We start from the raw sequence: 10,447 nt of genomic DNA on the forward strand, positions 1-10,447 counted from the left end.
GGCAGCACAGCCCGTGCCTCTGCATTTTCTCCGTTCTCCACCCGCCCAAGGCCTGATCCAAGGCTAGGGTCTCCACGTCTCTGCCTGCACCTGACCCTGCTAGGGTAATGCCCCAGACCTGTAGCCAAACCAAAGGGCCGAGGTGGGCTGGCCTCGAAGGGAGGTGATGGGCGTGCAGCCCAGGGCGGGGCGCGGCACCTCTAGGATCCCAGGGCTGGAGTTGGTGCAGCTAGCCCCGCTCTCTCCCCTACCCTGTGTCCCCCCTTCAGCTTTCTCAGAGCCCCACCTCTTATCCCTGAACCTCCAGAGTGACGGCCTCCCCTGCTCATTAGGGAGGGTCCAGAGGAGCCCCTCCTGGTGCCAATGGTCTGTATCCTGATCAAACTCTGGGATTCCATGGTGCTGAGATCTGCAAGAACAGCCCCGGGGGCAGGGCCGGACTCTGCATCTCTAAGACAAACCTTTGCCACCTTTGAAACTGACCAGCTGGGAACAACGTGCCCTTCCCCCACAGGTGCCATGTGAGGGCACAGGCCATGCCCCCATGGCCACAGTTGAGTTGGGGCCACCTGGCCTATGGCTGAGAGTCTGGGTATCAGAGTCTGACTGGCTTTGCGGCTTGCTAGCTAGGGCCTTCGGTCAAGCTCCTTAGCCTCTGTGAGCCTCAGTTTCCTGATCTGCAAAGCAGAAGCTCCCAGGGTTGATGTGAGACTGAGTGAGTTAATTCACATGAAGCCCTTAGCGCATAGTAGGCCCTCATATGTGCTGAACCCACACAGAGCCAGCCCCCACAGACCCCTGCATCCTCCGCAGCAGCACCCAATGCCCCCGTCTCTGAGGGCTCCCCTATGCTGAACACCCGTCCCAGTGCAGGAACAGTGCCCACCAGATGCCCCATGGTTTTCCCATAAAGGGACCGGACTTGGGTTTCCCTGGACAGGGAATATCCTGTTCTGGGCTGGCGGGGGGGAGGAAGAGGAGCGGGAAGGACACGGCGGCTCCGCATTCCTGGCATTCTTGGCGGCCGCCCTGTCCAGCTGCCTCGGCGCTGCCGGGGGCCCTGGCCTACTGCCATGCTGGCCCGACACGGCACAGCAGCACCCCGCTTGGGGCGCCCCTTGGACTTGGGGTGATAGAGGACCCATCTTGTGCCAGTCCCACCCATCCCAGACTATCGCAGAAGCAAATGAACCCCAACCCTGGAAGCAGAGATTCGGGGGCTCTGGGAGGAGTCAGTTAACAGGGGAGGAGTTTCTGCTTTCAGTTCTACCTTATGGGGCTCCCTAGCCCACCTACCGTTCCCCAGGGAAGCTCTCGGGGTCAGAGCCGGAAGAGGGGAGAGGTAGAAGACTCCTGGGTTCTAGTCTCCAGTGCCCAGACAGCCACTTCCCCTCTCTGGGACTCAGTATCTCTGTCTGCAAGATGGGAGACTTTGATCCCTTCCTTGGGCAACCCCAGCATTGCTGCCCTTGTCACGCTCTATGGCATCATCACTGCCTCTCTGCAGAGCCTGTGCCTCTGGCTAAGGGCAGGAGCCCATCCCTTCTCCGCACTGGGCCGGGCCTGGTGGGATATAGTGGTTCCCACCGCCACGCAGCCATGGTATGCAGGATTCGAACATTCAGAGGGGAGGGCCTGGGGGCGGTCAGGCTCTGGAGCCCTCACCCTGGGAGTGCCTTTGGGGTCCTAGGAGGAAAGGGGTCCTTGTCCAAGATCCCACAGCTAGCTCGGTCAAGCTGACCCGGGAATCCGGGGACTTGCTGTTCTGCAAAACCACCAGAAACTAGGGTAATTCTTTTCCATGTTTTTCTGCAAACGCCCCCTAGTTTCAGGCCCAGAGCAGTCTGGGGAGAAGCTGGGAGCTGGAGGCTTCAGAGACCTCCACTCTGCAGGAGACCAAGCCCGCTCCCCATGCTGCCCTCTGCCCTTGGGGAGCCTGGAGGGGTCTTCCAGGGCCGGGAGGGGACAGGCAGGAGGGGCTGCAGTGGGATGGATGCATCTGGGCTGCCAGTCTCTAGCCTCCCACCCTCTCCCTCCCCTCTCCTGCTGGCTCGAGGACCACCCCAAGCCCCTGCCCAGTCCTGGGAACTCCAGCTCCATCTGCACTGCAGGCCCCATTTCCCACTTCAACAGCTCACGGTGGCTCTGGGCACAGGGACCAGAGCAACCTGGTCCAGGCCACAGCGAGAGGCAGGAGCAGCTCTTTGCTGGAGTCAGGAGGCCTGAGAAGTCCCTGGGCCTCTGCACCTCCACTTGATCATCACAGGGTTAGAGGATGTGGTCCCTGGGGCCAGCCTCATCAGTCCTCTGTGGTCCCAGGATTCTGAAATTCAACTGTTTGGTTCTGAGACCATCAGTCACCTCCTTCTGCCTGCCCTTGAGAGGATTAAGCAGAGGAAGTCCCTCCCTGTTACCTGCTCTTCTCTAGGGCTCACCCTGCAGAGTTCAGCTCCCATCCAGGCCAGGGCCCTGCTCCCAAGGACCCCATCTCCCTACCACTTGACCCCCCCAAAAGGCCAGACACCCCCAACGCTATTGCCTCCGCCTTCCCCTGGTGCCTCCTGCCTGCCTGTCCCGCCTGCCTGTCCCACCCGCCTGTCCCACCCGCCTGTCCTGTCTGCCTGTCTGGCTGGCTGGCCATCTGTCTGTCTCTCTGTCTGTCTGAGGGACAGTAGGAGGAAAAGGCTGGAACCCCACCCTGCTGGGTCCACATGTCCAGGGCATTGTTCAGCCTCCTCTGGGAAATCACCTCAATTGTGAGGCTTAGGGGCCACTGCGGCACGGCCGGGTGTGTTTACAGATGCGGGGGTGGCCAGGGGTTGTGTCTGTGGAGGAGGATGGGCACAGGGGGTGTCACGATCATCTGTGTGTGGCACGCTTGATTAAATAATGATAAAATGACGAAATGGAATATTATGCAGCCATCAAATACGAGGCCTTTGAAGAAGAGTGAGGACATAAGAAATGGTCCCAGTGTAAGATTTACTAAAAGGGAAAGTGCACAATGAGAAGAAGTCAAAGTGACCCACCAAATGCTAATCACAGTGATCTCTGCGCAGCCAAATCATGAGTAATTTCCTATTTCCTGTGTATTTACGGTGTATTTTCAATGTTTTTGGCAATGAGCACGTTCGTTTTGTAATCAGAAAAAGGAGAATAAATGTTGTAAAAATCAAACTAAAGATGAACTAGAAAACAAATGAACATGACTAAAATAAAATAAACTCACTGGGCATGGTGGCTCACACCTGTAATCCCAGTTCCTCAGGAGGCTGAGGCAAGAGGATCACTTGAGCCTGACAGTTTGAGACCAGCCTGGGCAACATAGTGAGACCCTGTCTCAAAAATAAATAAATAAATAAATAAAATAAGGCCAACAGAAAAGACTAAACATAAAACTAAGGCAAATGTTCAACTCCAGTTAGCAAACACTGAGTGGGCGCCTGCTGTGTGCAGAGGCTCTGCTGAGTGCCGGGGTTACAGAAATGAAGGAGACGGAGCCCTTGGCGAGTTAACCGTCCATCAGGAGGGTGGGAGAGTCACCAGTCATGAGGCCCCCTCAGGAGGGCACCGGAGAGAGGGAGACATGGATGAATCAGGAGGCCTTCAGGGAGGAGGTGACGGCTCACACAGAGGCTGGGGACAGGGGATGTGGTCCTGGTGGGAAATATGGCCGGTGGTGGTTGGAGGGTCCGCTGGTTGCACGAGCTCAGTTTAAGTATAGCGTGGGGAAGATAGGCTAGCTTCAACTCGCTACAAGTCTGGAGTGCCGGGTGGAGAGAGATTCTTAGCCAAGTGGGCATTCCTCAGGAAAGAACACAGGGAATGGTCAGCCATTCATTCACTCATTCATTTATTCAATTCAACAACTACTTCTTGAATACCATCCACACGCTAGGCACTGTGCAGCTTCCATTCAAATGCAGGGAAATGGGCAGGAAAGCAACCAATGAGTAAAGGGAATAGAAGTTGGTGCTGTGCGGAAGGATGGGGCAGGGTCCAGAGGTGGGGGTAGCTTGATGTGGGGTGACCAGGGAGGGCCTCACAGACTGAAGGAAGTGAGGGAGTGAGCCCACTGAGGCTGGGCTCTGCAGGAGGAGGGCTGTCAGCAGAGGGGGCCCAAGCAGACAGAGTCAGGGTGAAATCCCATAGGTCCTTGCAGGCCTTTGTAAGCACCTGAGCTGCGGCTCTGAGTGAGGACCGGAGCAGGAGCCGGGGAGGGTCTGAGCAGAGAAACACATGATCTGACTTAGGCTTAAGCAGCCTGTAGGAGGGGAGCTGGTGGGGCTAGGCTGGGCCAGCAGCCCTGGTGAGGGCGAGGAACAGAAGGCGGAGCCAACAGCAGTACGGCCTATCTGATGAAGGGTGGTGGTAAAGGAAAGAGAAGGTCAAGGCCTATTCCAAGGTTTGGGCCCTAGCACTTGGAAGGACAGAGCTACTGAAACTGATGGGGCCAGCTGGGGATGGCAGGTTTGGGGTGGGATGGAGCAGGGAAGACAGGCACTGAGGCTGGACAGGTCGAGGTGGTGATGCCCGGTGATAAATCCGAGACTTCCACCCGGCAAAGCTGAGCAGGCAGGGGCCAGCTGGGGACACTCATCGGGCGTCACTGGCTCGTGGGTGGGGATCAGCCCCTAGAGCCGGATGAGACCACCCTGGGGAAGGGTGTAGACAAAGAGTAGCTCCAAGGATTGAGCCCTGGCACCCCCCGCCAACGTTTAGAGATGAGGGGGGCCGGCAGGGGAGCCTGAGAAACAGCATCGGGGAGGAGGGAGGCCCAGGAGGGTGGGGCCTCAGCCGAGGTGCCTGCAGGCAGCAGATGGAACAGCCACAAATGAGGCTCCCACAGAGCCATAGGTGACAGCCTGACGGGGAGGAGACTTGCGAAAAGAACAGGAGAGAGGACATTAAAAGGCAAGGAGGGCCGGGCGCGGTGGCTCACGCCTATAATTCCAGCACTTTGGGTGGCCGAGGCAGGTGGATCGCCTGAGGTCTGAAGTTCAAGACCAGCCTGGCCAACATGGTAAAACCCCATCTCTACTAAAAATACAAAAAAGTTATCCGAGCATGGTGGCACATGCCTATAATCCCAGCTACTGGGGAGGCTGAGGCAGGAGAATCGCTTGAACCCAGGAGACGGAGGTTGCCGTGAGCTGAGATCGCGCCATTGCACTCCAGCCTGGGAGACAAGAGTGAAAATCCATCTCGAAGAAAAAAAAAAATGGCAAGGAGAAAGAACTCTCCCCTCAGAGATTCGAGGGCCCCACCCTTGTCCCTGATGGCTGCCCCTCTCAAGGGTGACCAAGAGGTGGCTGTTTGCTGCGGGGGTAAGGGTGATGGGCAGAGCTTGGTCTGGGTGCTCACGCACCAGCGCTCCAGGCCATTCAAGGTGTGGATGAGAGCTGGGGGCCAGAAAAGAAGGGGGGTGCTGTGGAGCGAGGCCAAGGCCAAGGCTGGCTCTCCCCAAAAAGCCAGGTCCCAGGAGCCGGAGAATTCTAAATCCAGCCCTCATTGAGAAGATCTACTTAGCGAGTAGGAAGAAAGCATACTTGATTTAACAGTTTGTTCACGTATTTATAACATCTTGATATTTAGCCTCAGAGCGTGCAGGCCTCCATCTGTGCTCTGGGCCCGAGCCCTGCACATGTTAGGGCTGAGCTGGGAGCAGACAGCTTGAGGGGAGAGGTGAAGGGAGAGGGTTTTCTTTTTGCTTCGGTTCAGTTTTTAGTGGTTGCTGGTTTTTGTTGTTGTTTGTTTGTTTTGAAACGGAGTCTCACTCTGTCGCCCAGGCTGGAGTGCAGTGGCGTAATCTCGGCTCACTGCAACCTTCACTTGCCAGATTCAAGCAATTCTCCTGCCTCAGCCTCCTGAGTAACTGGGATTACAAGGGCCAGCCATGATGCCTGGCTAATTTTTTGTATTTTTGTAGAGACGAGGTTTTGCCGTGTTGGCCAGGCTGGTCTCTAACTCCTGAAACTTCAGGAGATCCACCCACTTCCCAAAGTGCTGGGATTACAGGCTGGAGCCACTGTGCCCAGCCAGTGGTTGCTGTTCTTTTTAAGAAGAAAGAAGAATGAGCATTCTCCCCTGGGGAATGATCCTGAAGAGCGGACACTGCGGGAGGAGGAGAGGGGTGTGCATGGCGGGAGGGATAGGTCCACCCGCCTTGACACACAGGCCCTCCATCACAGTGGCAGCAGGAGGCAGCGTCAGTGGGTGCAGGGGTGCACAGTGAGCACAGGGAGGTTCCCCAGGACCCCTTCTGCTTTCTCAGTGAAAAGGCAGCAAGGCCCTGGAGGTCTGAGGGGTAAGGAGAAGGTGTGGAAGAGCCCTCTTGGAGCGGTGCGTGTAGACCCAGGAAATGCAGCGGCATTGCCCAGCAACACTCTGGCAGATTGCATTTTCCAAGATGGCTGCAACAACATCTCCCGCCCCACAAGTTATTCTAGAACCTTTCGCTCCTCCACCAAGAGGTAGAGTCTAATTTCGCCTCCCCTAGAACCTAAGCAGGCTTGCGACTCACTGTGCTACCAATGGACTGCAGCGGAAGTGACAATGCATCACTTTTGAGGCTAGGTTATCAAAGCTTCTGCCATATGGAGTGCTCAGGCTGGCGCCTTGAGCCTCCATGCTGTGAGGAAGCCCAACCAGCCCCTGCACATGGAAAGGCTCTCAGAGCACCTGAAGAGAGAGTTGCTCCAGCCACCACCTGTCTGTCACCTGTGAGACCCTGAACAACCCAGCTGAGCCTCTCCCAAGTTCATGACCCACAGAATTCAGGAAAGATAATAAAAAATATTGTTGTCTTAAGCCTTTAATTTATTATGCAGAAATAGCTAATTGGAATAAATGCCAAGGACTAAACTGAGATTTGTGGTTGTGAATTTAAAGTGACACTCCTTTTTAGCCAAATGATATCTAAGGCATTTCTGCAGGGACAAGAGGCTGCACAGTCGCTGCAGGTTTCCCCTCCTTGCTGCAAGGGAGGAGAGAGACAATGGAGGAGGAAAGGTAGAGGAGATTGGGCCTAAGGTGTCAGGCAAAGTTGTGTGAACTGGACTCTGTAGGTAACCGGGAGCTACTGAGGGTCCTTCAGTGAGAGATGTTACATTCCATGCATAGGCTGAGCTCATTCTGGACTTAGCAATACAGAATGCAGCCTGCATCCTTGGATGAACTGGGGGTATGAGGAGGAGAGAGGTCTCCCCAGAAAGCCTGGCCACAGGTCAGAGGCTGGGGACTCTGGGCGTAGCTGGACCTTCAGCCCCTTCTCTATCTGCCTGTTCCTTAGACATTCAGCCAACTAGGAGAGGGGTGGAGAGTGGTGACCCTCAGTGTTCCCACCTGAAAAATGGGCACATTGGACTTCAGGTCTCTAAGTGGGCTTCTGGCTCTGAGGCTACAGACAGGAAAGAGACATTTGTGGTCATATTTCCACATACACATTGCTTGTGGTCAGGACAGATGCTAGGCTGAGCCCTGGCTCCGTCCTGGTTGCTGGAGATGCAGGAAGAGGCCTGGCCCTCACTATACAATAGGCCCTGCTCAGGATTCTTAGGTTCAAAGGAAGAGAAAACCCAACTCATGGTGGCTTTAACAACTGGAATGTGGCTGGGCGTGGTAGCTCACGCTTGTAATCCCAGCACTTTGGGAGGCTGAGGTGGGTGGATCGCCTGAGGTCGGGAGTTTGAGACCAACCTGACCAACATGGTGAAACCCCATCTCTACCAAAAATACAAAATTAGCTGGGCATGGTGGCTCATGCCTGTAATCCCAGCTACTTGGGAGGCTGAGGCAGGAGAATCACTTGAACCCGGGAGGCAGAGGTTGCCATGAGCCGAGATCGCGCCATTGCACTCCAGCCTGGGCAAGAAGAGCGAAACCCCTTCTCAAAAAAACAAAACAAAACAAAAACACAAACAACTGGAATGTGTGAGCTACTGAGGACCCGAGCTACTGAGCAACCAAAAAGCATGGGGGTATTTGAGGGTTCGAGCAAAACTTGATCCAGCCATGAAACTGAGTGACAGGACCCATTTCTCTGCCTCCCTCTCTTAGCTCCTCTCTTGGGCTGGCTCTCCCATGGGGGTCTCAGGCGGCTCCCAATCGGTCTAGATCTTTTTTTGGCGGGGGAATGGGGATGGAGTCTCGCTCTGTTGCCAGGCTGGAGTGCAGTGGCGAGATCTCGGCTCACTGCAACCTCCACCTCCTAGGTTCAAGCGATTCTCCTGCCTCAGCCTCCCAAGTAGTTGGGACTATGGGCGCGTGCCACCATGCCCAGCTAATTTTTGTAGTTTTAGTAGAGACGGGGTTTCACCATGTTGGCCAGGATGGTCTCGATCTCTTGGCCTTGTGATCCGCCCACCTCGGCCTCCCAAAGTGCTGGGATTACAGGCGTGAGCCACCGCACCCAGACTCTTTTTTGTTATTATTATTATTATTTTTTTAGAGACAGGGTCTCTCTGTCACCCGGGCTGGAGTACAGTGGCATGATCTCAGCCCACTGCAACCTCTGCCTCCCAGGGTCAAGCGATTCTCCTGCCTCAGCCTCCAGAGTAGCTGGGACTATAGGCTCAGGCTACAGCGCCTGGCTAATTTTTCTGTAGAGATGGGATTTCGCCATGTTGCCCAGGATCCAATCCGGGTGTAGATATTGTCCTTCTCTCCATGTTCAGTGGAGAGAGAGAGACAGTCTTCTTCCCGGGGAGCTCAGATATCTTTGCTCTGATTGGCCTGACTTCAGCCTTGTAGCCATCCCTGAACCAATCACAATGGCCACCAGATGGGATATAGTAATTGTCTTAGGCCAATGAGAGCCCACCTGGGGCGGGGCAGAATCTACCCCACCCTGGGCTGGGAGACACTGGGTCCTGTTGGGAGAGAGGAAGGGATGGACGAAGACCCAAAGCATGTCCCTGGCTCCACCCAGTAGAACCTTCTGGAGACTCTATGCTCTGTCAGAGACGAAGTGGTTGAGCACCAGAAAGGGGGCAGTCTCCCCATCAGAGCTATTTCCTGCCACCAGTACCAGCTGCCCATCTGGCCCGGCCTGGAGCCCCGGGATGCAGGCAGCCGCTGTTGGCGGGAACCCAGGGCCTGCTTGGGACGCTTGGGCAGCTGGAGACTGATTAAGCTGGGAAAAGTGCAGGCTGGAGAAGACTGGGACGGGGAAGTGATCCGACGCTTCCTTAACACCAAAAAAGGGAACAGAAAGGGTCAACCTAGGCGCCAGGAGGAATCCAAACAGGTAGCACATAACAAAAGCAGATGACTCTTCCGTTTGAGTCTGACTGTGTTCCACGTCCGCACGCTTCCTCCCCCACTACCCACCGGAGCACGGCTCCGTAGGGATGACTCCCTTGCTATGACAGGGAGGCTGAGGCCCTGAGACAAGTGACTCACCCAAGGTCACCGTGAGGTGGGGCAAAGCCAGGGTATCAGCCTGAGCTCTCCCAGGACCCCCACTCCACGGCAGCAGAACTGAGCCATACCTGTGCCCACTCCTGCAGCAAGGTGATGGTGACGGTGAAGCTCCTGTCACCACCACTGGGGAGGCCATTCCAGTCCCTCACGGCCCCCACTATTGGAGAGGCAGGGGAGCGGACAGGAAAGGGGCTGCCGGGTCCAACTGGCTCAAGTTCAAGTCCTGCCTCCCCCACTCTGGCTGGGTGAACTTGGGCAAGTCAGCATCCTCATTTGCGAAATGAAGAAACCGATGCTTCCTTTAGCAGGAATGCTAAGGAACGAATGCAGGAAGCGACTGACATCACACGTGGAAAACAGCTAGCACACCGGGCACAGGGAAAATACGACATTTCTCATAAGAAGGAAGGAAGGTGTTTGAGGCTTAGTTACCACACCACGGCAGGAACACTACAGTACACATGTGAACCCAGTGCTGTGGGGAGTAGAGGTTTGGTGGACCCTTTCAAATAAATGCTGAAAACCAGAGTAGGGGTGGAGGGTGTTTCCCAAGAAATAAACCAGGGGTGCAGGAACTTCAGTGCTGTTCCTGCCACTCAGCAGGGACCCAGGCACTCCAGAACCTGCTCTCACACTTTCCCCAGGCACTGGAACAGAACTCTCACCCCCTGAGCCTGGGCTCAGCAGGGGCAAGGAGGCTGTAGACAGGAGGTCATTGTCCAGCCCGACTGTGTCCAGATCCCACAGATGCCAACCCATCTGGGGGACAGGGTCTTCTGGGGACCCGCCTGCCATGGGGGAGGCTATTTGTCCCCTAGTTGCCACGGGAGACTTAGATTCAACACTAGGCACTCTCTCCAGTGTCCTGACGGTGACCCGAGAGCATCTCCACCAGCAGGCCTGGGTGGGGCCTGCATAGACAAAGCGGCCTTTGGCTGCCAGCGGCCGGGTTGCAGAGCGTGCGTCAGCTCAGCAGCCAGCCAGAGAGGCCTGGAAGTCAGCCTTGCTGCCCCCCTCCCTTGTC

The 10,447-nt window shown here is 55.9% G+C and overlaps 1 annotated feature.

Annotated features, from left to right (window-relative positions):
• Positions 837–1,131: an enhancer, noted in NCBI's record as "tiled region #8665; HepG2 Activating DNase unmatched - State 2:TssF". NCBI's record gives its function as "activates a minimal TATA promoter and a strong SV40 promoter by Sharpr-MPRA in HepG2 cells {active_cell/tissue: HepG2}" and the evidence as "EXISTENCE:reporter gene assay evidence [ECO:0000049][PMID:27701403]".

This window comes from Homo sapiens, chromosome 22 (genome assembly GCF_000001405.40).
Source record: "Homo sapiens chromosome 22, GRCh38.p14 Primary Assembly".
NCBI lineage: Eukaryota > Metazoa > Chordata > Mammalia > Primates > Hominidae > Homo > Homo sapiens.